Source organism: Homo sapiens, chromosome 13 (genome assembly GCF_000001405.40).
Source record: "Homo sapiens chromosome 13, GRCh38.p14 Primary Assembly".
In the NCBI taxonomy this organism is placed as follows: domain Eukaryota; kingdom Metazoa; phylum Chordata; class Mammalia; order Primates; family Hominidae; genus Homo; species Homo sapiens.
Window position 1 is genome coordinate 99,802,034 of NC_000013.11, and position 27,410 is coordinate 99,829,443.

Genomic DNA, 27,410 nt, shown 5'->3' on the forward strand with positions numbered 1-27,410 from the left:
AAAAACACACATCACTGAAATTTACCTAGAATCTTTTTTTTAGTCCCTTTGGGCTGCTGTAACAAAACACTGTAGATTGGGTGGCTTAAAGAACAAACATTTATTTCTTACAGTTCTGGAGGCTGGTACATCCAAGATCAAGGTGCTGGCCAGTTCCCAGTGAGGGCTTTCTCTTCTTGGTTTGCAAGTGGCTGCCTTCTTTCTGTATCCTCACATGACCAAGAAAGAAATCATCCCCATCACATTGGGGATTAGGGCTTCCATGTAAGAATTTGGGGGGGATATATTTAGTCCATAGCAATCTTAAAACCTCATTTTAATTTAATAATTCCAAACTCTTTTTTGGTTATTATTGTTAAATTTCACTCAAACTTTAGACATAGCAGAATGTAGCACATTTAGTTTGAAATTCACTTATTTTGGGGGGGTCCAGACTCTAGTTGAAGTTCAGATAAACAATAGGATGGCTAATGGGAAAGGGGGGAGCTATAATGCTTCACTCATTCACAGACCTCATTTCTTAAGTCCCTCTCACCAGTGCAGTACACAAGTTCTCACTTGCTGCAGGTAAATATTTGTGAAATGAATGCATGTATGAATGAGTGACTCCATAAATGACTGGTCTCTGGCTGGAAGGCATCCCCAGGACTTTAGATGGGAGTGTGAGAGATAGACAGTGTATTCTGCACTCCAAGCTGCTTGTGTGGTCTTCCCTCTGCCCAGCATCCTTGGGTCTTGCTGGGAACATCTTAACTCATGAGGCCTTCCAGGACTACTCAGACTCAGTTATCTTCCTGGCTGTATATTCTACATGTGCTATATGTACTTTCTGTTCTGTAACATGCATCAAACCTCAAATACACGTACAGCGCTTACCGTTCACACTAGACTGGACACTCTGCAGGCAGGGATTGGGTGTATATTGCCAGCACCCAACACTTTCCCAGCATGTGCCACTTCATTACTCTTAGTGGAGGTGGGAATGGCATGATTGTGGTGGACTCTCAAGATCTATCCCACTTCTCTGTAACCAAGCAAATCGGTAACTCATCCAAACTCAAGGGCTAAGTCTGACTAGACCAACAAGGGGTAATTCAGCCCTCCTTGCCAGCCCTGACTTTTCATCACCAGTGACAGATGTGGAGTGGCCGGCTGAAGGTTTCTAGGAAGGTTTTCTTTCCTCTTAAGAGAAGGCCATGGCAAATCAGTCTTTCCTTTCTGCTAACAATGACAAAAGGATGTGTTGCTACAGTCACTAAGGATAGCTTGCCCTAGAACAAAGGCAACATTGTGGGTTGGAGAGTAAGTAGAGAATGAATGGGCATCCTTGATGACACTGCTCAGCTGCTGGCTTCACCAGCCCATCGCTGGATGTTGTCACATAAATGTCGTTAGTGTTTAATTAAGCCAGTCTGAATTTGGGTTTCCAATCTTCCAGCCCAATGTATCCTAACTGAAAAGGAACTGCAGTGGAAAGCCTATGGGCTTTGGTGTCCAATACATTGGATTTGATTCTTCTTAGCAGTGTGAACTGACCTGACTTTCCTAATATGTGTAATGGAGAAAGTAATACTTCTCACCTGGGGTTGATGTGTGGAACAAAGAAAATATGTATGTAAAACACTTACCAGAGTGCCTAAAACACAACCAATGTTGTTTCTTTTCCATTTAGGAGATGGTTCACTTGTTGATCTGGGGGGTCCAGTGGGTTGAATTGATCAACAGTGAAATCAGTAAACTCTCTGGTCCTTTGCACATGAACTGTCAGGTAGTTCACCGTCTAGTATGGGAGTCAGATAGACATTCGCGGTCACACTAACAGTGGGGTTCGACTGCAGTCCTAACTGGAGAACAGTGTCCAGCTAACAGAGGTTGAGAGTACTGATCAAACCACACCTGAAGGCTGGAGTGCAGGTCTCGTAGCCATGAACTAGAGAACAAGAAACAGCGGAAGATGCTGAGGATGTTAATACTGAAGAAAGGACGACCAGAAAACAGAAACGACTTCAAAGAGAAAAGGGAGTGGAATCGTTCTGTGCTGCTTCAGAGGGTGGAGTGAGGACAGACCCCATCAACAAAGGACGCAAGCTTTCACTCAACAGGAGAAATAACTGTCTGAGAATTAGCAGTGCACAAAGGCAGAGAGCGAGCACCTCATCAACAAAGCAGCTCCCCTTCCCAGCAGCCACTCATCAGGAAGTCCTGCTGCAGGAGTTTGGGCCACATGGCCCCCAAGGGCTCTTGCAAAGATCTGGATTTGACATTAAACTGTTCAGCAGACTCTTGTTGTTTGGGCTACAGCAGGTGGATCTAGAGAGCTTCTCTGTTGGTTATACTGTTGCTGTTGTTTTTCTGAATTCCCTCCGTCTTTTTTCTGACTTCCTCTCTTGTTGGCCACTATAAGCACCACCCAAACTGACCTTTCACCTCTAACTGTTTTTTTTTCCATGCTCCCTTGATGATCAGAGAGATCCTATACATGAAGACAGAGTAATGGGATTTGTGCAGCTGCAGTGCAGTTTTTAGGGAAGCGAAAGGCTCCCTGCCCTGTAGTCTTCCTGTCTCGCCTGCCTTTATACCTGAAATGTTCCCTTTTCCCTCATCTTTCAACTAAGGCATCACCTCCAGAAAATACTTGATAAATGTCAATATAGTAACTGGTAAGTTGTTAATATATCACCTGTGAGGGATACCATATTAATGCCATATGCTTTTTAAAAAAGTGATAAAATATGCAGAACATACATTTTACCATTTAAACCATTTTTAACTGTATAGTTCAGTGGCATTAAGAATATTCACATTGTTGTATAATCATCACCACCAGCATCTCCAGAACTTTTCATCTTCCCCAGCAGAGACTTTACCATTCAACAATAACTCCCCATTTCCCCCTCCCGTCCCTGGCAACTCCCATTCTGCTTTCTGTCTATATGAATTTGTCTACTCTAGATACCTCATAGAAGTGGAATCATGCAGTATTTGTCCTTTTGTGACTGGCTTATTTCACTCCGCCTATTGTCTTCAAGATTCATTTGTGTTATAGTGTGTATCAAAATGTCTTTCCTTTTTGAGGCTGGATAGTATTCCATGGCATGTATATACCACATTTTGCTTATCCGCTTATCTGTCAATAGACACTTGGGTTCTTTCCACTTTCGGCTGTTGTAAATATTGTTGCCATGAACATGGGTGTACACGTGTCTGTTCGAGTCCCTGCTTTAATTCTTTTGGGTATATCCCCAGAAGTGGGATTGCTGGATCATCCGGTAGTTCTTTGTTTAATTTTTTGAGGAATTGCCGTACTGTTAATAGCATATACTTTAAAAACCTATATGTTAACCAAGGAGAAGAAAACAAGTTAATTTGAAGAGAGTCAGAAAGCGTGAGTGTCCAGAGCCTACTGAGCCCTGGAAGTCACGGATAAAAACAAGAAGTGAAGTCAACACTCTCGGTGAGAAAGGGAGCGGTACTGACAAACTTCTACCATCCCAGTGTGCCCGGTTGCTCCCACGCCCTCAGGATACTAAAGCTGGGAGGAAGGAGGGGGTGGGGGAGGGGACTCAGAGGGAGAGCTACTGAGTGCCTGCAGGGATTATTTCGAGGTGCTTTTGCATCCATTAACTTATTTAATCATCAAAACAACTCAGCAGGTGCCCTTATTTTTATGGACAAGTCTTGTCAGGTACTTAACATTTTTAATTTTTATTGCTTTTAAAAGCAATGAAGAATATCTTTAAGAGGGAAGAAATAATTCTGAATCCACCAAGCTCACACAAAATTCACCTCAGTACTGCCCTATTTTCCTTTGCTCCCTTTGCAGCCATAATTTTTACATGGTTGCGTTGTTGTCATTTCATTTTCTACTTTTTAAATTGCTACAGAGATCTTTGTATTTATTATTTTAACAGATGTATAGTATGCATCTAATGATTTCACTTCAATTCAGTTAACTATTCCCCTACCATTGAATATTTAGATTGTCTTCAGTTTTTCACTATAATTTTATAATTGTTTTATAACAAGATTTTATAATTTTAGCAATAAAGAGTTTCATGTACATAACTTTTTTCCTCTTATACTTATTTCTTTAGAATGCATTTCTAGGACTGGAATTACCAAATCAATGGGTACAAACATTTTTGTGAATTTTGTTATACACTGCTGAAGTGTTTTATAAAAGGGATGTTTCAAAAGTGATTTTTTGAAGATTGATAATACATTTTCAACAGCAATACTGGAGTATACCAGTGTCTCCACATTAAGTATTACTTTTAACTTTGTTTTATTACTTAGTATATATATAAGTATACTTAATTGTTGCCTTAATTAGTTTTTAAAATTAATTGCATGGTTTCCATATGCTTAGTAACTGTGTTTCATATGTATTTTGTCTCATTACACCTTTTACCCAGTTATCTGTTGGATGACCCTAGAAGTATTGCATTGTAATTAAGACCAAACACCAGAAGCAAAGGTAGATTCAGTTCTTACTTTTGTTACTTCCTTAATCTTGGGCAAGTTAATATTTCATTTTGTTAAGCCTCAGATTTCTGATCTTTGAAATCAGAAACAACCATAGTACCTACTTCATTAGATTATTTCAGAGGTCAAATGAGGTAATGTGTCTGAACCACTTCAGCACAATGCCTGGCACATGGAATATGCTCCGTAAAGATTAGATATCTTCACTGTTATTATGTAGAGCCATTCGTCTGATTTTTCCTCCTCTTACCATATTCTAAATCTTCTGTTGTATTACCTCTTACCCTTGGGTAGTTGAGCTGCTGGGAGTTGGAAGTAAGGGCAGTGGAGTTTGTTCAGGGCAAGGCCTGCCATCTGGTTCACACATGGGTGTGATCTGGTCAGACTAAACAGCATTTTAACTCCAGATGGCTGTGTCTACATTCTCGTGTTATGTGGACGGATGATCAACAGTGGACTTGCAGGGGTGGAAGGATGTACAGAGACCCTATTAGAGCTACCCTAGTGCTTCCAGTTAGAGCTGGTGTTCACACAAGATTGTTGAGGTAGGGCTACCCCATTCGCAATGGTATTCAAGGAGGAAAGTAGCCTCCTGTCTCCAGCCAGTTCAACCTTCACTGCTAATTCCTGTGGCTCCTGCTGCAGCTGCAAACCACAACCCACTGATTTCTCCTCAGATAGAGCAAGAAGGGGCAGAAAGTCCGGTCCACATCTATTCAGAACTTAGTAGTTGATAGGTGCGTTCTTTATGCTTTCTCACTGAGATGTGTCTCCCCGCATGTGCATGACTAAGCCACGAAGGTCTGATTTGACGCAGAATCCACTGGCTGGTATTCAGTTATCCATAAGGATTGAGAGCCAGCACACCCATGTTCCTGGCAGCATTATTCACTGTAGCCAAAAGGTCGAAGCAACCTAGGTGCCCGCTCACAGATGAACGGGCAAACAAAATGCGGTGTCTTTGTTTTTAAAAAGGAAAGATCTTCTGATACATGCTACAACATGGATGAACCCTGAGAATATTACGCTGAGTGAAATAAGCCAGTCACAAAAGGACAAATCCTGTATAATTCCACTTACATGAGGTACTAGAATCATCAGATTCATAGAGAAAGGAGAAAGACAGTTTCCAGGGGCCGGGGGGGAAGGAGGAACGGGGAGTGTAGGAAGAGGAAAAATGTTCTGGTGATGGACGGTGGTGATGGTTGCACAATAAGATAAATGTACTTACTGCCAGTGTACACTCTAAAGGGTTTAAAACAGTAAATTTTATGTTAGGTATGTTTCACCATAATAAAATATTTTTTAAAAAGGAAAAAGAAAAATAACTTGGGCCTAATCTAGGATATGAAGAATATGAGAAGAGTTAAAAGAATTTTTTAAAAATTAGCAGCAACTTGTGAGAGAAGGTTCCTCCTCAAAGCGGAGGAAAGAATTAGGATAGATTGTAGTTTAGACCCAAGAAAACCAACTCTGTTCAAAGCATATGAACCTGAAGTTCCCTGTGGTCATGGCAACCTTGGGAAGGTTCAGGATCCTCTTGGTTTTTGTTTTTGTTTTTGTTGTTGTTTGTTTGTTTGTTTTTGAAATGGGGTCTCACTCTGTCACCCAGGCTTGAGTGCAGTGGCGCAATCACAGCTCACTGCAGCGTGGACCGCCTGGGCTCAAGCAATTCTCCTGCCTCAGCCTCCTGAGTAGCTGGGACCACAGGCCCACACCCCCACTCCAGGCTCATTTTTTGCATTTTTGTAGAGATGGAGTACTGCTGTGTTGCCCAGACTGGTCTCAAACTCCTGGGCTCAGGCGATCAGCCTGCCTCGGCCTCCCAAAGTGCTGAGGTTTTAGGTGTGAGCTACTGTGTCTGGCCTAGGATCCTCTTGTAGAGGAACGGTCACCTGAGCCCTTTGTGCTGGAGAAGATATCTGGCCCATAAGCAACTTTAGTCACCGGAGATAATACTATAATTTATAGACTTAAAAAAAAATTATAGACTTAAAAGCAGTGTTGAAATATTTGAGGTTTTTCTTGTTAGATTGAGCTTTTGAAGGACAAGAAAATGACTGTATTAAATTCATGAATATAGTTTTGAAAGTTTAAGGGAATTTAATAAAGTCGTAAATGGTGCCAATTGAGGTTTCAACTTGTTTAGATATATTCAACCTGAAGTAATCAATTTTGTTTATAAATAGAATGATAACATTGGAGGTGGAGGACAAAGGCCTAAGGCAGGTGAATTTTTGAATTGGTAATTTTAATGAATTTAATATTAACTTAAAAACCAAAGTAACCCACATGATCTTTTCCATGTTGAAAAGCTGCCTTCATACATCAAATTTCACATTGACAGCTCTGATCCTGGTCCTTCCTATTCTAAAGTACAGTTGCTGACTTATTTGTGGGTTTCTCCCATGAGTATGTAAGCTCCTTAAGGCCACAAGCAAGTTCACGTCCTGAGCATCTAGCACAGCTGGACACACACACAAGACACTTGTCAGATGGCTGGGGGAGGTGGGGTGGGGGAAAAGAAATTCTTGAATTTACCCTGGTACTATATGCTTGTTAATTGTTTAGACACACACCTCCCAGCTTCCTATGACAATTTCCATTTTGATATCTATTTGGACATTTGCTAAATGAAGCCATCCACTTATTTTAATGAATTACTATATTTATAATAAATATAATTTAACAAATAAATTATGGGGAGTATTATTTATTTTAATCGTCCTGTAGAACTGTATTCAAGAGTATCTACACAAGGGGTGTTCAGTCCTTGTTTGCCTGCATAACTCTCCTGAACACAAAATGTTACTTCTGGGAGCCTCCCTTCTGTGCATGACCAGTGTCATGTGGAAGACCACCCTCTCCGATGGTGGGCTCAAGGTTCTATGTCTGAAGTCCAGAGGCACTTCATTTGGATGGCAGCATCAAGATTTCAAGCTTGGTAATAAATGAAGAGAGGGTTCCCAAAGTGTCTTGTGAAAGTTGGGGGAAGGCATTCCCCTTCTGTGAGACAGAGCTGTGTCTTCCTGCCTGGCTTCCTCTTTTGGCACCTTTCCCCTCATGGGGGAATGGATCCTGAAGCGAAGAAAGGGATGGCTGCAGGCCCCTTGGCTGTCACGCTGTTAGCGATTAGCTGTTTTCAGCAATTATGCCCTTCCATCGAGGGTGTGACGGCTGGCGCCTCTGGTAATGAGCTGCCTTCCAAGGCTCCCTCCCGGCCTTCACTTGCTGCTCTCCTTAGTGGCCTCAGAGTCTGCTGACATTATTGCCAATGTGACATGTTCCTCTTGGCCAACTCGGGAAGACATGCCAGTCTGCCAGTGAGAGAGCCTGAAGGAACTTCAGGAGAGAAACATGAAGCTGGATGAAGCCACCAAGCAGACTTGTCCCCAGGGAATGGGGACATCAGCTCATCCATCCCGACTAGCTCAAAACGCTCAAGAATAACCTATGCCCAAGTTTTGCTGGCAAGTGGAAATGTCCATTCTACATTAGAATAGCATAGGAGGATTTTTTTATTATTATCACATGGGAGTTACATTGTTGGTGAAGTCATACTAGCTAGATAAATGATTAACTCGGTAACTCATCAAATAATGATTGAGAAACCACTTTGTGGCAACACAAGGCTATCACTAGAGGTGACAGAGGTGGGGAAAGTAAGTGTAGCTCCTCTCCTCTCCGGGCTTATGGCTGGTGAGACAGACATACATCATTCCAGTGGCCACTCACATCAATGTTTGGTTGTGAACTGTCCTATGTGATGGGAAGAGAAAATACAAGAGAGTGTAAAACAGGACTCCAGGGTGGAGAGAGGGAATCCCTGTGGAAATGCCATTTGAACTAGGAGCTGAAGGATGGAGAGGAGGTAACTAGACAAAGTGTGGGGTACAGTGGGGAGTGGAGCAGAGAGAGAGGCTGTGGGTGGAGGGGGAGGCACATGCCAAAGCCGAGGGGTGACAAGAAGCTGGGCACTGCCAAGAAACTGTGAGAAGCGAAGCTTGGCTGGAGCGGCCAGAGCCCAGGGTCATGCAGGATGAGCCTAGAGAGGAAGGCAGGGGCCTGGTGATCCTGGACTTGGACTGCAGTGAGGATTTTAGATGTATTCTAAGGGTAATGGAAGGCTACTAAGGGTTTCAAGCAGCAGAGATATGTGTCTTGCAAAATAGCATTCTGAATGCAGCAGAATGGATTTGAGCTGGGCAGGTGTGGACGGGGAGGCCATCACCATGGTCAATGAGAAGAGTGGAGGGTGATGAGGAAGACAGAGGACATCAGAGACTGAATTCCCTTTCCTTCCTTCCCTCCTTCCCCTCCAAACGTAGCCCTCCTGTCAGCTCCAAAAGGCAGAAGTGGGTTCTTTTTCTTAGAAGACCATTCCAGTTTTCTAAGCAAAATTCCGTTCTCTTCTCCTTCCTAAGAAAGTTTACAAAGAAACAGAAGCCTACAATCCCATGGCAGATAAAAAATTTTAGGAGAGCCACGTTCCGGTTCTGAAGGAGCAAAGACCTCTTCCACACACACAGTGGACCCTGTGGTGCCACTCTAAAACCCATACCTCCAGGCCCATTAGAACCCCCAAAGTGACCTGATTTCCATCAATCCCAAAGCCAGCCAAGCAAGGTTACGTTTATAGGACTCCCTCCTGGTGACAGTCCAGAAAACAATAAAAACAGATGCAAGTCCCACTGTGGTACAGAAGCCCACTTTGGAAACCAGGGGGTCAAGTGCCCATTATCCAGGTAAGCAGGCTCTCCCTAGGAGACCAAAAATGCATGTCAACATGCCAAGTGGAGAGGGGCTGGAAGCCACAGGGGCCACCTGGGAAGGGAGGCCTCAGCCAGGCAGTAATAATAAAACCGGACAATGCCACAGAGCTGGCGTGGCTCAGCCAGGAGCCAGGGAAGGATGGGGGTGGGAGGAAGGGCCTCCCTTCCTCCAAAATCAATGTCCCTGTTAACTTGGGCAGAAGAAAATCTGACAGCTCTGGAAACCTGCCCATCTGATGAGAAGGAGGAAGCTGAGAAGCGGCTGGAGCCAGAGAAAGCCCAGAAATGGCAGGCGGGATCAGTTGCCCATTGGGGACCTGGTGGCAGGAGCTCTCTGCATTGCTTTTACTGACGCCCAGGAGGACAGGTGCCACTGCCAGTCCCCACACGACCTCCAGCTGCCTCCTAAAGCAGCCCGCCCCTCTGATGATCCTGGCTGGATTTGTTTTATGAAAAATCCACGAAACAAACAGGGCACTCAGCTTCTGAACCCAGTTCCCTGGGGGCTATTCCATTTTGTTATCTGGAATATAACCGACTGAGAGGCAACTGGAATAACTGAAATCTACAGAGAAATACAAGTCTTGACAAGTTTCAGGAAAAACCACCCTTCTTATTGATAAAGCAATACCAGCCAACTAGTCACTGATATTTATTTAATGCCTCCCATATGAAGAGAGTAGCATGAATCCACAATCCTGTATCCACTATTCCAAAATCCAAAAAGCTGAAAATCAAAAGTTTTATTATTAAGTTTGCAGCCGACATATTGGGCAGCAAAGCCTGACCTAAACTGCTGTGAGACTGAGACTTCTTCCTCATAGTGTGACTGTTCCTACATTTTGCTCCAGGTTTTGGGGAGGGGAGATATTAAATAGACTGTCTAGGTGCCATCTAACCATTTTAAAGTCCAAAAACTTCTTAAGTCCAAAACACATTTGTCTAGAGTTTTCTAACAAGGGATTGCACACTCCTATTGTTATGGGTTTGAGGACTCACAGTCCAGTAGAAAAACAAGAAATCCCAGAGAAGACTCAATAGAACCCTTTGCACTATAAATATTTTATAGACATATAGATGTTTGGGGTTACAGAATTACATAATTCCCTTCTGTGTAGTCTGAGTACAGTTTCCAATGGAGACAGCCTGCAGTGAGGAAAACATGGGTTTGGGAATCAGAAGGTGGCTGGGCCAGTATTAAATGCCCCTGTGGCCTTGGGCAGGACTTTTCTCCTCCCTGGACCTCATCCATAAAATGAAAGAATGGGACAAGATGATTTCTACACACACTTCCGGTTTTCAGATTTCTGTGTTCTATGACCTCCCTATAGGAGGGATAAAGGACCAGGGAGCAAGAAGCTCAGAAAAGGTCTCTTTTCCACATGAAGTGGGAAAAGGAAAAGCGTAATCACGTGCTGGACCCTGACTGGAGATGGAAGTAACACCAGCCGGTTAACTGGGGTGACTCATGTCACCAGTTATGGAACTACTCAGATCCTTGGGTGCTGAGTGACCAATACCCAGCCTCTGGATGGTAGCAGCCCTGGAGACAAGTGGGGCCAAGGGGGGGCCCTGTCATGCCAAAGCTGTGATATCACATACTGCTGAAATTGATTTGGCTCCATTTCCTGCATACCTAGCAGATTTACCAGATTGTGAAAATGAATGTTTTCTATGCGCGTGGCTGATTTTTGCATGCATCTGTTCACTCATCTAAACCTTAGTTACATCCTGCTAGGAGAATGAAAGGCTATAATTTCTTCTTCTTTAATCTGGAATAGTTAGAAACACCATGATTTTTGCTTTAAAATTCTGCACCAAAATGGTGAACCATTTTTATTTTTGTCTCAGGAAAAAAAAATGAAATGATACTGCCGTATTTTTTTCTAGATTTGCAAATGATCCTGACCTTAATGGGGGTCCCATGCCTGAGAACATGGCCCTTGGAATAGAAATATCCAGTGGAATGCAAACATGAGTATCTAAACATATCATTTGCATCTGACATTAATAAGCCCTTTCTGGCTTTCACGTTTCCATTTTAGATGACAGTGCCGTCTTCACATGTCAGGGGTCAAGTGCAAGAACAGTAATACTAGTATTTATTTAGTACTTTGCATTTCTGGGGTGCTTTTATTGCCCTTAATTAGTAAACCACAAATAATTTCTGCTCAGTAGCTTGGTACTGCAATCTTCAGTGTTCATGGGGACAGTGTGCTGTAGTGACTAACAGGATAGACTTTGGAGTCAGTCAAACTCAGATTTGGGCTCTGCCTCTGCCACTAACTTACTGACTAACCACTTACCACTTACTAACTTACCACTAACTAACTGACTTCAGCAAGCTTCGGTGTCTTCATCTGTAAAATGGGGATAGCGACAGGCTTGTCACACAGAGTGGATATGAGGATTAAATCAGAATATGCATGTAAAATGCTTAACGTAATGCCTGACAGTAGTACTGTATATATATACTTATATATAAGTGCTCCATATGCCTTCCCTGTAAACTAGATGTTGGATACGTTGCCGTCCGCAAGTCCTTCTGCCTCTGAGAATCACATCATAGCCCAATAAGCTACTTAAAATGGAAAAGTCCATAGGCCATCCCCGTGGACCAAAGTCCTGCCACCTTTCTGGACTCTGAACTCCCTCTCCCTTTCCTTCTCCAACTGCCAAAGCCTCTTCATTCTTCCTACTTCATTTTGCACAGAAATTTGGTTTCTTTCACTAATCCTTTCCAGCCTTACTCTGAGGGCTCTCTTTCCACTCACAAGTGGCCCAACAAGGTTTTGTTTGTTTTCTTGTTTTAACTGAACAGAAGATCATTCTTTCCACCCTAAGTTTTTCTATACAAATTATATTGAAGATGATTATTACAATGACATTTTCAAAAAGACAATTCTCTCCCTAAAGAATTCCGATACCTGCTTTTAAATTGCCATTCCCCTCTCCTCATGGTATAGATATTATAGTTTACAACAAGCCCAGGTTCAAGGGCTGGTAAACCCACTGAAAAATCAAAGAACTCACCCAAGATCATGTAGTCAGAAACAGAGACTGAATTCAGGGCATGGGAACTTAACCTCCTAGAGTTTTCCCAAAAGCATTGTTTGCCCCTTTGAACATGGAAACAAAAAATAGGGAGAAGACCAGACACAGTGGCTTATAATTGTAATTCCTGCACTTTGGGAGGCCAAGGCAAGAGGATCGCTTGAGCCCAGGAGTTTGAGACCGGCCTGGGCAACATGGTGAGAGAGATCCCTTCTCTGCAAAAAAATTAAAAAACTAGCCAGGCATAGTAGCATTCACCTGTGGCCCCAGCCACTTGGGAGGCTGAGACAGGAGGACTGCTTGAACCTAGGAGGTCAAGGCTGCAGTAAACTGTGAGCACACCACTGTATTCCAGACTGGGCAACAGAACAAGACCCTGTCTCAGAAAAAAAAAAAAAAAAGGAGTCTGGGCGTGGTGGCTAAAGCCTATAATCCCAGCACTTTGGGAGGCTGAGGCAGGAGGATTGCTTGAGTCCAAAAGTTTGAGACTGGCCTGGGCAACATAGTGAGACCTCATCTCTACAAAAAATCAAAAATTAGCCCAGCATAATGGTGCATGCCTGTGGGTCCCAGCTGCTCAGGAAGCTGAGGCAGGAGAATGGAGCCCAGGAGGTCAAGACTGCGGTGAGCCATGATCACACCACTACACTTAGCTTGGGCAACAGATTGAGACCCCATCTCAAAGAGCAAGCCAGGGTGGGCCTCTTAAAGCACAGGTTTCTTGAGTGGTCCCAGAGGTAACACACCCCACATGGTCTCACTCTGCCTCTAGGGGAGGCACTTCAGAACCCACTGTTAATCAGGACAAAGGATCCCTCCGTGGAACAATTCTGGGGAGCTGCATTCCCAAGAACAGCAGATTAAAAATCAAATCCGGGAAAGGAGCTAAAACCTTGCGTGCTGCAAGATATAACTCATGTGTACGTGTTTGTGAATGGCGTGTGGGGATGGTGCATGGGGATGGTGTAGATGAGGGGATGGATGGACCTATGAAAAGCTCAGAGATCTATCAGAGCAAGCCTGGGCAAAATAGCGAGACTCCATCTCTACCAAAAGAAAAAAATTAGCCAGATGTAGCAAAAGAAAAAATAAATAGCTGGGTATGGTGGCATGCACCTGCAGTCCAGCTACTTGCAGGGCTGAGGACAGAGGATTCCTTGAGCTGAGGAGTTCAAGACCACAGTGGGCGATGATGGCGCCACCGCATTCCAGCTTGAGTGACAGAGCAAGACCTTGTCTCTAAAAATAAATAAAAAATTGGCCAGGCACGGTGGCTCAGGCCTGTAATCCCAATACTTTGGGAGGCCGAGGCAGGCGGATCACTTGAGGCCAGGAGTTCAAGACAAACATGGTGAAACCTCGTCTCTACTAAAAATACAAAAATTAGCCATGCATGATTGTGTGCACCTGTAATCTCAGCTACTCTGGAGGCTGAAGCAGGAGAGTCACTTGAACCCAAGAGGCAGAGGTTGCAGTGAGCCAAGATCGCGCCACTGCACTCCAGCCTGGGTGACGGGGAGTGAGAGCCTGTCTCAAAAATAATAATAATTAACTAAAATTTAATTAAAAATTTTAAAATTTTTTGTTAAAGATCTATCAGCAGAGCAGCCTGGCTGCATTTTGTATAGGTACAGTTATCCATACTTCAATTGTTTCTGAATTCCAGTCAAACAACTTAACATAGTAATTATATTCGCAATGACTAACTTAGTATTTACCAAGTGCCCAAATGTTCAAGGCATTGCACTGGTTAGATTTGGCAGAGGACAGAGAAATATGAAATAGCAATTTTCTTTTTCACATTGTCCAGTCTAAGCTCTGGCTATAACTTCTATATTTGGCATAAACAACAGTCACCAGAGACCAATAAGACTTGGTCATTTGTTCTGATTTGAACTCATTTGTTTAACAAATGAGAAGATTTAACATCAAAATGCCAACCTTGGGACAGATATCTGTTTTCCAAGATGCTGAAGCTTACCACCAAATGATATTTTGATGTGCTATTTAGGATGTTTTTGCTTGAAACTGGCTCTCAATGACTGTGCCCTTACTTTTGCTGGTCAGGAGCACAGTGAAATTGCTCTGAAAACAAGCAAGTGTCTTAGAACCCCAAGAATGAGGCAGTAGCCTCGTAAAATGGGCCCTGCTATGACCTGAATGTATGTGTCACCCTCAAATTCATGTGTTGAAACCTCAATGTGATGGTATTTGGAAGTGGGGCCTTTGAGGAGTGATTAGGTCATGAGATGGAGCCCACATGAACTGGACTAGCGCCCATATGAAAGAGGCTCCTCAGAGCTCCCTTGCCCCTTGGGCCCTGGGTGGACACAGTGAGAAAGTTCCATCTATGAACCAGGAAGCAAGTCCTCACCAAACACCGAATTTGCCAGTGCCTTGATCTTGGACTTCCCAGCCTCCAGAACTGTGAGAAAGAAATTTTTATTGTTTATAAGCCACCCAGTCTATGGTATTTTGTTATAGAAGCCCACATGGACTAAGGCTCCCAAGAAGATAAATATGCCAACTGTTTTCTAGTGCCTTCAGGCTGGGGCTTCATGGAAGTGGTGGGGAGCCTGAACGTGCGCTGCGGATAGGGTTTTACTTCCTGCTACCCATCAACCATGGGATAATGCCTGACAAAGATGCGAATGACCCCGGAAATGTGAGTGAAGGCCATGTAATTATGTAGGCTTTCACTCCTTCTTTCTCAGCCGATTCAGCTCTTAGCCAGATTCTCTTGTTCCATCACCAGGTTTTATCCCTGCTAACTTTCTTTCCCCAGGAATGATTTTCATTGAGATCGTAGTGTGTTTCCTCAAAAGAAGACTAGATTGTAATTGGGTGTCCTTAGATGTAGAACAACTCTCCTGTTTAGATTTCAACATATATATCTTTAGCTTTAATGTGTGTATGAGAGAGAGAGAAAGGAGAGGAAAGGAGACGAGAGGAGAGGAGACGAAAGGAGAGGGGAGGAGAGTGGAGGAGAGGGAAAGTGATTAAGAGAGAGAAGATGTGAAAACTTAAGCACTGGCCGGGTGCAGTGGCTCACGCCTGTAATCCCAGCACTTTGGGAGGCCGAGGCGGGCGGATCACGAGGTCAGGAGATTGAGACCATCCTGGCTAACACGAAACCCCGTCTCTACTAAAAATACAAAAACTTAGCCGGGCGTGGTGGCAGGTGCCTGTAGTCCCAGCTACTCAGGAGGCTGAGGCAGGAGAATGGCGTGAACCCGGGAGGCAGAGCTTGCAGTGAGCAGAGACGGCGCCACTGCACTCCAGCCTGGGCAACAGAGCGAGACTCTGTCTCAAAAAAAAAAAAAAAAAAAGAAAAGAAAAAAGAAAAGCACTGAGCTAAAGTAAAGAAAAACCACTGGGCAGGACATGGTGGCTCATGCCTATAATCCTAGCACTTCGGGAGGCCAAGGCAGGAGGATTGCTTGAACCCAGGAGTTTAAGACCAGTCTCAGCAACATGGTGAAACCCCATATCTACAAAAAAATTTTAAAATTAGTCGGGCGTGGTGGCACACACCTCTAGTCTTAGCTACATGGGAGTCTGAGGCAGGAGGATCGCTTGAGCCTGGGAGGTCAAGGCTGCAGTAAGCTGTGATCACACCACTGCACTCAGCCTGGGTGACAGAGTGAGAACTTGTCTCAAAAGGAAGGAAGGAAGAGAAGGAAGGAAGGAAGGGAGGGAGGGAAGAAGTGACGGAAGAAGTGAGGGAAGGAGGAAGGGAGAAAAAAAAAAGGAAAGACCTGGATTCCAATTCTTGCCCTATTTCTGATCAGATATGAGAACTTATGTGGCAGAGATCAGTCAGCTGGTTACCAGAACCCATTTCCTCTTCCTCCTGGCACACAGATCTACTTCCACCCCTCCTCTGCAGTTATCTGTCACCTTAGGATTACACTTTGGCTGATAGCATGTGAGTAGAAAGGATGTTTACTACTTCTAGCTCCTGCCCACAAAACTTTTCACTCTCTGTGTTCTTTCTCCGTCCTCGGGTTGATTGTTAATAGAGAAAGACTGTGGGAGTTACGGGTTAAAGATGATAAAGCCACTGGCAGCCAGGACCCCTGAAGATCACATGGAGCAGAAAACACACACACACACACACACACACACACACACACACACGGACACACACTGCCACACTGCCACTGATCAGATTCGACATGAACAGGAAAGGCACTACTATTATGCTAATCCTCTTTAATTGTGGGGTTTCTCTGTTACAACAACTCATACTGCTGGAGCTGAAATGTGTTGCGAAGTCATTTTAACCTCTTCTGTTTCTATAGCTGTGATGTAGGATTTGCTTTTTACAAAGCTTCACTTAATCCACTTGAGATTGAAATGTGGTGTGTGTAAAAAAGCTTTCCTTATTCCATGTTCTTTTCCAGCCCTTCCCTGGGCGTTTGTACTTAGTTGCAGTAACAGTTTAAATATAATTTTACATTAGCTCTTTTTCACTTAGCACACCAGAAGCATTTTTCCGCATCTCCACAGTCTTCATAATTATAAATGTTAATGACTGCTTAATATTCCATCAAGCTGATGCACTGTAATTGTCTAAAACAAGTGTGAGATGTTGCTGTTATATCCTGCTTTGAGAAAATCCAACTTATCAAGACAAAAAAATTCTCTACAAGGGGACTTTTATATATTGAGTGCCTTACGTTTCCAAGGTATAATTTAAATTACACAAATTTAATAGGCCAGGCGTGGTGGCTCACACCTGTAATTCCAGCACTTTGGGAGGCTGAGGCGGGAGAATCGCTTGAGGCCAGGAGTTTGAAACCAGCCTGGTCAACATAATATCTCTACAAAAGAAAATTTTTTAAAAAATTAGCCAGGTATGGTAGCACATGCCTGTAGTTCCAGCTTCTGGGGAGGCTGAGGCAGGAGGATCACTGGAGCCCAGGAATTTGAGGCTACAGTTAACTATGATTATGCCACTGCACTCCAGTCTGGGTGACAGTGAAACCCTGTCTCAAAAAAAAAATTAATAGACCCTCAGTCACCTACTATACAGAGCAAAGTACTTGTATTATCACTGGGAAAAAATTTATATATATATATATATATATATATATATATATATATATATATATATATATAATATTTGTCAGGGTTGTCTGGGGGACAGAACCAATAGGATATATATAGATATATAAGAGGGGATTTATTATGGGAATTGGCTAACGTGGTTAGGGAGGCTGGAAAGTTCTGCGATCTGCTGTCTGCAAACGGAAGACCTAGAAAAGCAGGTGGTGTGATTCATCTGAATCCAAAAGCCTGAGAACCAGGGAGGCCACATATGTAAGTCTCCAGATCTGAAGGCCCCGCAGCCAGGAGCTCTGAAGTCAGGAAAAGATAGATGCCCCAACTCAGGAAGAGCGAGAATTTGTCCTTTGCATTCTACTCACCTTTTTATTCTATTTAAGCCCTCAACAGATTGGATGATGCCTGCCCACCTTGGTGAGGGCAGATCTTTTTTACTTAGTCTATTGATTCGAATGCTAATGTCTCCCAAAAACACCCTCACAGGTATACCTAGGAATGTTTTACCAGTGATCTGGGCATTCCTTAGCCCAGCCAAGTTGACACATAAAATTAACCATCACGGATTTATACCTATAAAGTTGGACATTTGCACTCAGTGGCTGCTGGTTGCAGAGAATCCCAGCTTCCCTAAAGCAGACCTCACCCAGGTGATTTTCCCCAAGTGTCGGGCCCTCTCCATCTGTTGTCCCATCTATGCTGTGTCTCGCGGAGGCTGCTGTGTCTGTTTCTTAGCATAGGATGAGGGAGCTGACACTTCTGCATGAGCTCAGAGGTCAAAGGGCAGTTTGCCTTGTCAGGTGGCAAGGCACCTGGGCTTTAAGGTGAACATTGCACACGGTCCGCCCAGGCACTGAGGAGTGTCTAGGGGGCAGTGAGGGGGTCCTGCACTCCCGTGCACTCACACTTATATTTGCATCCATTGTTTTTGTACATGCTCATATTTAAAAATTTTTGTCTTTATTGCACAAACAAGAGTGAAACAATCACTCAGAAACTTACCATAGTAACAGCCCAGCAATCAATGGACTGCTTCCATATACTCTGTTTGCCTACCTCCCCCCGACTCCCCACCCCCACCCAAAGAATGTCTACCTAGCTGTATTTGTCTGAGACAGTTTTGTTTTCTCCTTTGGTCCTGTAACCCTCTGCAGGGATCATTGTCATGTTGCTTCACAGTCTCAATCTTAGGACAAGATTAATATTGCACCATCTACATTCTCACCGTTGGAGTAGTCACTCTAACAATTTGCAGAAATATTTAACCCAGAATTCACCATCTGGATCAAAATTCTGACAATTTGCATGTGTGTGCTGGGAAAAACATTTAGGTTTCGTGTGAACTCAGATTAGAGGAGCGGAAGGAGCTCAGCTGTTCTCCGGTCGGGATGGCACCATGTGTTGTTTAAATGTGTGCATTATCGTGAGCGTCCATCCTGTGTTATTAAGTGAAAATGTCTTCCAAGAAGGATCCTTAGCATGTTGTTTCATTGTTTATGTACATTACCATACATGTTTAATATGGCAGAGAAGGAAAACATAAATTGTGTCTACTACTGTACAGTATCTTATAGTGTACAAAATGCAATGAGTGCCCATTCCATGTTAAATAATTAGGTGATTTGTGTTTTAAATGCTTTATATGATGTAGAAATACTTTATGTGATGTAGAAACTGCTTGGTGGAAGCAATTAAGCTTTCTAATATTATTTGAGGGAATTGATTGGGGTTTCCGGATGGGCTGGGAACACAGTAATCTTGGTCCTATTCCTAATAATGGAATACAGGCTCCCACTATCCAAACTTACCATTTTCAGGAATGGGTTAGATTTTTGGTACTGAGGGATGTCTATATTTATCGGTATCCTCGACTTGGCTTTGAGCATCATAAGATCAGGAACTTAATGTACTCATCTTTGGATGCCCAGCACCTAACCGTGCCTGGCATTTAGTTGGTTTAATTCACATTATTCTGTGACTACACCAATGAACAGATGTGTCACAATTTATCAAAAATTGCTCCTGTTATTGGATAAATATACACTTAATTTTCTTTTCTTTGTTTTTCTTTTGATGGAAAATTAGGCTTTTTGCTGTCTGTGAAGGGCATAGCCAAGGAATTTTGATGCGTGTTGCAAGGCACACCAAGATACTACATATATGTGGTCAAAGCTCTCCTCTTCTCCCCAGCTCTCACAGGTCTGGCTTAGCCCAATGGTATTGAGTCCAGACTCAGGAGGACTTAGTTCTCTTCATAAAAAGTTGATCACCTTTGCTTTCTCCTTTGCATGGGCAATAAAGAAGTGAAAAATAAATTCCCAGTGAGCTTGCATTCTGCTTGGGAACAACATAGCACATCCATTTTCTAGAGAGCTGTCCAGTCCCCATTTGAGGGCTGCTAGCCACATGTCAAGCAGGAACCCAGAGTATAACCAGGAAAATGTCTGTGGTAGACCCCAGTGATTCATGCCTCCCATCTCCACACCCTCCTGTAGTCCCCTCCCACGCTGATTCTGGACTAGGCCACATGGCTTGGCCAGTGGAACACATGCAGGCTTGCACGTCTGGAACTCTGCCACCTAATTTAGGATCCCAGACTCTCCTACTGGAGACACAGGTCCTTAGTGACAGTCTGCACCACCATTCAGACAAGTCAGTAGGGCCATCTTAGATCATCCAGCCCTAGTCAAGCCACCAGATAACTGTACCCACATAAGTGACCCCTGGCGAGACCAGCAGGAGAATCATGCCAATGGGCCAATATACATTCTGACCCACAGTTTCATAATAAAATAAAATGGTTGTGGTTGTAAGCCACTATGTTTCAGAGTGGTTTGTTACACAGCAATAAATAACTAATATAGTAGGCATACCATCAAGTCCAAAGTAGGTAGAGAAGAATGTAAATAGCAGAGCAAAACAGCATGACTGGTGGCTGGGAGGCTTAAAACTGGGACAGGATCAGAGTCATGAAAGAAGTCAAAGAAATGGTTCAGAAGTAAGGCTGAGACTGACTTACAAAAGCTGAAAGTCCCTTTAAGTTGGTGTTTGGTGCATTGGCAGGGGCAGGTATGGTGACTTAAAAGAGCCATGCTCAACAAGATCAAGCACAACACAATCACGGGTCACCCCAGCAGACCTTAGCGAGTCTAGCCATTTCTTTGGTGGTGGTCACAGTCATGCTTCAGCCCAGTTTCCACTTGGACAAATGGTACATATTTTCAATGAGATGAAAATTAAGATACAATCCATGTGCTCAGAGAGTGATCACAGCTCTGACTAAACACTGTGCCCCAAAGTGTTGAGGAATTGGGAAAACCTAGCTGAGTTAGTGGTCTCTTTTCTGTTACAATAAAGCTCATAATGAAAATTAGCCTTCTTTGTTCTTCCCCAAGTCTTTCTTTCTAGACGAAACTACTTTCAACTGTTTTAACTTCCTTACTGTTAACTTCCATATTTCTAGATAGTATGGTCAGACTGTTATTTCTTGACTTTTAAATGTAAGATATTATCTACTGACTTCCTTCTATGTAAGATGAGGATTGAGCTCTCTTACCCTTCTCCCATTTCCTCATCCTTCCAACATAAATATATTTTGGGATTATATCAACATTCAATGTTACTTAAAGTGACCTTGTAAATATTTTCACAACTGAGCCATGTTTGATTTGTATACTTATGTTTACTTTACTGTTTTTCCTGAAGTTAATAATTGCCTTGAATTTATTTATTTCTTTAAAAATGTTTCATTACTCAGGACTGTAGTTTACATTACGATTCTTTGTGTTATACAGTTGATGGGTTTCTTTTCTTTCTTAATTTCTTTAAAAAATAGAGATGGGGTCTTACTATATTACCCAGGCTGGTCTTGAAGTCCTGGGCTCAAGTGATCTTCCTGTCTCAGCCTACCAAGTAGCTGAGACTATAGGTGCAAAAAAGCCACTATACCTGGCTAGTTTACAGGTTTTAACAAATGCATTATGCCACGTATCCATTATTACAGGATCACACAAGATATTTTCATTACCCTGAAAGCATCCCTGTGTTCCACCAATTCATCCTGCCTCCATGAGCCGCTGGCAACCACTGATCTCTATAGTTTTGCCTTTTCTAAAATGTCATATAATTGGAATCATACAGTCTGTAGCATTTTCAGACTAGCTTTTAAAATTTGGCAATATGCATTTAAGGTTCCTCCTTAAATGTGAAGGGCATAGCCAATGTGGCTTGATAGCTCATTTCTTTTTATTGGTGAATATTTCATTGTCTGGATGTTCCACAGTTTGTTTATCCATTCACCTATTCAATTTGCTTTTTTTCTGTGTATCTATCACTAATTCAATACTGGACTCTCCAACAGAGCCGTAAAGTGTCTTTAAATACATCAAGTAACCTATATGTTCTATTTTTCCCCAACAAGTTGTCATCCACTGCTCCATCTGAGCCGACTGCCCAGTAAATCGTTCTGGTAGTTTCCCATTCTGTCATCCAGGTAGTCCTTTTGCCTGATTTCTGAGTCGGGTCTTTTGCTTATTGGATCTCATGTCTTTTTCTTTCTTGGTTTATTCCTTCATTTTACTGGAGTACATCCTCTAGTCACTTCCTTGGAAAAGATATGGGAAATAATTTTGTAAAAAAAGATTTGGCAGGTCTGCAAGAAATATTTATTTTATCCTCACAGATCAGGCTTTTCTAGACTTAAATAAGTCCCAGTAGAAAAACGTCAGGTTGCTGGTGGCTTGGCATAAGCATACTTCCAAGAGATTCCGGAATGGTTGGAATTCTATTATTTCTTCTCTTTTTGGTCTAATTTTTTCTACTAGCTTGAAAGCCTTCTGACTAATAGCCCCCCCCACCCACCCCCAGCTAATCCTTTTGTGAATTGGTTTGAATTGGCCTCACTTCATTAGTTGAGCATGGGAAATGTTAACTTCTGTACAGAGATATGTATTATAGCATAAGAATGGTTATGGTCACTTGTTAGTATTTCTCTCCCCACTTTTGGATTGAAACAATTACAGAATAATTAGAGCAGAGACTATTTCTGGCAAATAAAACAGTTAATAGTTGGAAAGGTATGTTTTAGTGAAGATTGTTTATAAACACACCTCTTGCTGCCAGGATCTTAAAGTCTAATTAATTAGTATCAGCCCAGCCTGCCTCTCCTCTTCTGTCACTTGCTTTCATCTTCCTTCATGTACACACACGCACACTCACACGAGCACACACCCCTTGTTGTCTTGCCTTTTCTTTTCCTCTTTATCTCAGTCTGCACAAGTTTGCACACAGAATTGGCTTGCCTCCTAGCTGTTTTGTCCCCACACTCCATCAAAAAATATTTTCTGCATCTCTAATTTCATCAAGATATGCCTGACTGAGAATGTCAAAACCACTGAGCAGAAGTGTTTAATCCAAAGTTGGCTCCGCCGGTGATGATCAGCTGAGGAAACAACCTCGAATTTTTCCCTCATTATTTGTTAGGATGTCAGTTTTTCACTTTATGGAATAGGTTCACATCCTGCTTCTCACCCCCTGCCCCCCACTCTTCATTGGGCAGAGGCCTCCCACTGATTTCCAATAGAGCTCTCTGCACCCAAGAAAGACACATGGAGAAGAAATGGTACCTGGCCGTCTGTGGGTATGCCACCTTCAACAAAGATGTCCATAAGCAGACAGTCACTTCATGGTTTCTTGGACAGGCAGATCCTGGCCATGTTCATGTAATTCCATAAGGTAAGGCTGGAGAGGCTGAGCTGCCCACTTAACAAGCAACAAGCCCTGGGGGAGTCTGGGCAGCCCAAGGTAGAACTAGGGGTGGAAGATCCTTGCTTGGCCCTCGGATGGCTGTACGACGTCAGGACAGGCTGTTAACCCCTCTGAGCCTCAGTGCCGTCCTCTGTAAAATGGGAATAATATCAGCTACCTCCTAGGGTTGCTACAAGGATAAAAACCAAGTAAGTGCGTGTGAATGCCCTTTATCATGAATGAGAAGGTGCCCTGTAAATGTTGCTTATTAGCTGACCTTAGAGATAAGAATCAAAATGACACACTTTTGTTCCAGGTAGTTTTTCCCCTTTGGCTTAGTCCCCTTTTTTATGAGGGATGATCTGCTGTTTAAAGCATTTATTAATATAAAGATTATGAAGGGAAGGATTTAGAATGTAATTAGTGGGGAAGGGGGCCTGCTTCTCTGGGATGAGAACGCCATGACTTGTTGGCTCAGTACAGCACACTGGTAATCTTGTTTCCTGAGGCTCTGCACACGCTGAGAGCACATCGTGCTCACAGGCACACTTAGTGAATATCTGAGAATGTGGTGAGGGAGAACGTGTGTCAGGAACTGGGCAGGTGGGCGGCACAGATTGCCATTCCTGCACTGGCCGTGATTGTAGTAAGTCCCTCATGGACACTGGTAGAACCCGAATAGACATCATCAAATGGATGGGTCTTCCTGCCCGCTGTTTCAGTTTGCCTCCCAGTCCCCTCTCTGCCCACCATCCGCACAAGTTGCAGAATCTGCAGCCTCACCCCACTGGACAAAGGGCTACAGATCTGCCAGTATATCGTAACTCACATGGTAGGCAGTGGCTTATGGGATCTTTCTAGAAGGGAGAAGGCCAGACTCTTCAGGGCCTGAAGGCCTGTATTTAAATTTCTTCACAGTTTGGAAGAAAGCTACTGTGATGGTCAATTTTAAGTGTCAACTTAGATAGGCTATAGTACCCGGTTATTTAATCAAACACTAGATGTTTGATTAAAAGGAAGGTATTTTGTGAGTGTGGTCAACACTACAGTCAGTTGATTTATGTATAGGTGGTTGCCCTCCATAAGGTGAGTGGGCTTCCTCTGATTAGTTGAAGGTCCTACAAGCAAAACTGGGGTTTCCTGGAAAGGAAAATCTGCCTCAGAACCATGACATCAATGCCTACCTGAGTTTTCAGCCTGCCAGCTTGTCCTGCAGATTTCAGACTTGTCAATCCACAGTCTCATGAGCCAATTACTTAAAATAAGTCTATCTATGTATCTGTGTATCTCTTATGGATCCTGTTTCTCTGGACAGCCCTGACTGATACAGCTGCTCTCTATCCAGAGATTACCTTTTTCTTTGACTCTATTGCAATCCAACTCTCAGCAGTCCAGAAAATGAAACATTTTCTTTTCACTAGGAAAACCAACTGTGTTACTGGAACAACAAACCAGGCAAATGAATCCCAAATCATAGTCCAACTCTGATCTTGAAATCTACTAAGCTTTGATAAAACTAAGATACATATTTTATCTTTTAAAAATCTTGATCCATTTTACCTCATCAGAAGTGGGGAGTTCAAATCATCTGCATTCTAATCCCATATCTGTCTTGGTTCTCATCACTGTTCAGCCTCTCCTTACTCCCTGAGATGCTCGCCCTGTTGGAACACATGCCCCTTGGCGAGGAATCTCCATACACCACCGAGCTGGAGTTGTCTCGGGGCCCGAGGCAGTGGGACTCACGTTGTAAGCTTTAGGTGTCAATGAAGGTGTCTTTCCTTGAAAGACACTAAAACTTGAAAAAGTTGTCATCTCATAATTCCAGGTGCCAAGATCACTCAGGAGAGAAATGCTCCTCCCTGTTTAAGTTATTATTTTTATCTCCAGGGTCATTTCTGGAACCCTTCATATACATTTTAATCACTTTAAGTCTGAATCACAAACATTACAAGGCTCACCTTTGGCCATTCCCAGGCAGATGAGGCAGGGTCTGGGTTCCGTGAGTCATTTACCACAGACTCCAGTTGGAAGCAGTTCCCAGTGGGGTTACGTGTGAGCCTTTTCAATTGTCCGTGACTGTGTTCCGTATACACATATCGATTCCCCTCTCTAATTCCCAGAGCTAGTGCCCTGCCCTTCTGTCTGGCTTGGGTGGAGCCCCTGAGGGGTGGGGAAAGGACCTGGCGCCACTGAGCAGACGTCCCTTAATGGTAATCCTCCAGTGAGTCAATGGCCTCCAAAGAGACCATGAGCGTGGTCTTGTTGATGAGGAATGTAGTCACAGTCACACAAAAAAGTCCCCAGTCTCTGCCTCAGGACCCCATGCATGGCCCATCATCCCCGCTGCAGAAAGAAACTGGACAGGACCTCCCCTTAGGAGCCTGTCAGCCCTTGTCAGTAATCAGCCCAGGGGCTACTCAGAATGACTGGAGGCACTCACATCCACCCCCTACCAACCACACTGCCCGCTCTCAGCCCCTGCCACCTGGGGAGCCCCACACCAGGGCAGGGCAATCAAGCTTGGCTTCTGCATGCCGTGCAAAGCTTGCCAGCAGCCAAGCTCTTGAAATATTTATATTTATACATGCAAGGCTCAGACTCTCGCTTTGTCCCGACAGGCGCCATCGTATGTGGGGATGGGGTATGGTTCGGGAGGGTTCATTCATCCCATGCTAGCGTGCCTACCCGCCAAGGCTCACTTGCGCAGAGGAGGAGGGATCTCACCAGAATAGTCAAAAAGTTGGCCATTGTCATGAATCAAATCCATGTGTTGGAAGAAATATACATTAGAAAATTGCATAGTCTCCCCTTCCCTTTGATTCAGAGATTTTCGTTTCATTTGTGCACAGGGAAGAGTTGAAATGCCCCTCCTGAGGGGTGCCCTTCTGGGGATGCAGGACCCACGGATTGCAGGGTGTACAAACACAATATATGTATTTATTTTCAAAGACAACATGAAATAACACCATAGAGTTTTTGTGGCTACCTGTTCTCTTTTGAAGAACTGTTCAAAAACTAGATGATGGGCAAAAACTCTATAGAGGGGAAAGGAGGCAGGAAGAGCCACAGTTTCAGCTAAGTCAGACGGGTGCACTCGAGACTCAATTAGCAATTGTTCCCATATATTTCAACACACACACCTTAAACACAGGTTTTCTGAGTGAAGTCAGTGATGAAAGCCTGTGGGTTAGGGGAATTTTCCCATGGTAGCGACAGCTGTTCCCACAGAAACAGCTCAATTTATCTCAGAGATGAAGGTTTCACTAGCTTGGGCCTCTCATCAAATTGCATGCATGGGAATTATTTTTAAGCACTCTAAAATGGTATCATTTCCTAGTGGCAAATTATTTGGGTGTATTTTGAAACTAATTAAAAGGGAAATGTCCTATTTTGTAAAGAGCAGCATTTCTACATTTTAAAAATCAGATGTTCTCAGTGGGGAGCAGGGTTTTCTCTTCGTCAGTGTTGGCTATTGCTAAGTGCGTCCCAGATTGAAAACCTAAATGAAATAACTACAAGGAAAGGCATGGGGTAAGCTTATGTTGGAAAAGGTGGAGGGAGACACACATATATAATACATACACCATTTATCTGGGAATTTAGAAAGCCTTTTCATGTCATCTTTTTTTCTTTCTTGCTCATTGCTTGTTATTTCACTGTGAGCCTTGCAAATATGGAGGGCGGCAGAGGTGCCAGGCTCCATCACGGTGTCCAAAAATTGGCTTTGTACATATGCTGAATTAGAGATTGGCTGGCAGAAGCAGTGTGCAGACCCTAGATTGGCAGGGATTCCTCGTGACGGAAGACAGGGCTATGAACCCACGGGATGTACTCTGAAGCCAGCAGCCATGCAACGTGCTGCATCCCCACATGCCAAAACCTGTTTTCAAATACATTCAGAATCTGCATCAGGCATCAGATCCCACCCAGGTAACGCCCTCCAAAACTCGAATCCCCTTTCCTTTCTCATGAGGAAGGGAATGTGTTGAACCTGTCACAGGACAGAGATTTGAAATTTTTCACCCAAGGCTCCAGGTCATTTTAGTCACCACCTCTTGTGAATAGGCACCGTAGCATCCAAGGAGGAAGGTAGGAATCTTGCAGATGCAAACCTTCCTGTTTTTTTTCTTCCTTGGAAATAAGCAAACTGCCAAGGCGGTTCTGATGCAGGAAGAATGAATGCAGTGAAGGAACACGTTAAGACAGCCGGAGCAGGGAAGTCCATGCCAAAAAGATCCGCCATCTGGGGCTTTTTTCTCACTGTGTCAACCAGAAAATGCCTCT

At 43.5% G+C, this 27,410-nt stretch overlaps 1 protein-coding gene and 1 long non-coding RNA gene across 11 annotated transcripts in view, besides 3 other annotated features; one reads left to right on the forward strand and one right to left on the reverse strand.

Annotated features, from left to right (window-relative positions):
* CLYBL (citramalyl-CoA lyase) overlaps positions 1–27,410 on the forward strand; it is a 302,755-nt gene that overhangs the window by 195,344 nt on the left and 80,001 nt on the right. The gene's annotated exons all lie outside the window — the stretch shown is intronic.
* CLYBL-AS3 (CLYBL antisense RNA 3) overlaps positions 1–27,410 on the reverse strand; it is a 216,296-nt gene that overhangs the window by 61,164 nt on the left and 127,722 nt on the right. The window lies entirely within an intron of this gene.
* Positions 7,178–7,679: an enhancer, noted in NCBI's record as "H3K27ac hESC enhancer chr13:100461465-100461966 (GRCh37/hg19 assembly coordinates)". NCBI's record gives its function as "activates a minimal SCP1, AML or CMV promoter by ChIP-STARR-seq in primed H9 embryonic stem cells {active_cell/tissue: H9 hESC(primed)}" and the evidence as "EXISTENCE:reporter gene assay evidence [ECO:0000049][PMID:30033119]".
* Positions 7,680–8,179: an enhancer, noted in NCBI's record as "H3K27ac hESC enhancer chr13:100461967-100462466 (GRCh37/hg19 assembly coordinates)". NCBI's record gives its function as "activates a minimal SCP1, AML or CMV promoter by ChIP-STARR-seq in primed H9 embryonic stem cells {active_cell/tissue: H9 hESC(primed)}" and the evidence as "EXISTENCE:reporter gene assay evidence [ECO:0000049][PMID:30033119]".
* Positions 15,825–15,995: a silencer, noted in NCBI's record as "fragment chr13:100470112-100470282 (GRCh37/hg19 assembly coordinates)". NCBI's record gives its function as "represses an EF-1alpha promoter that drives an FKBP-Casp9 reporter gene in an ReSE screen in HepG2 liver carcinoma cells {active_cell/tissue: HepG2}" and the evidence as "EXISTENCE:reporter gene assay evidence [ECO:0000049][PMID:32094911]".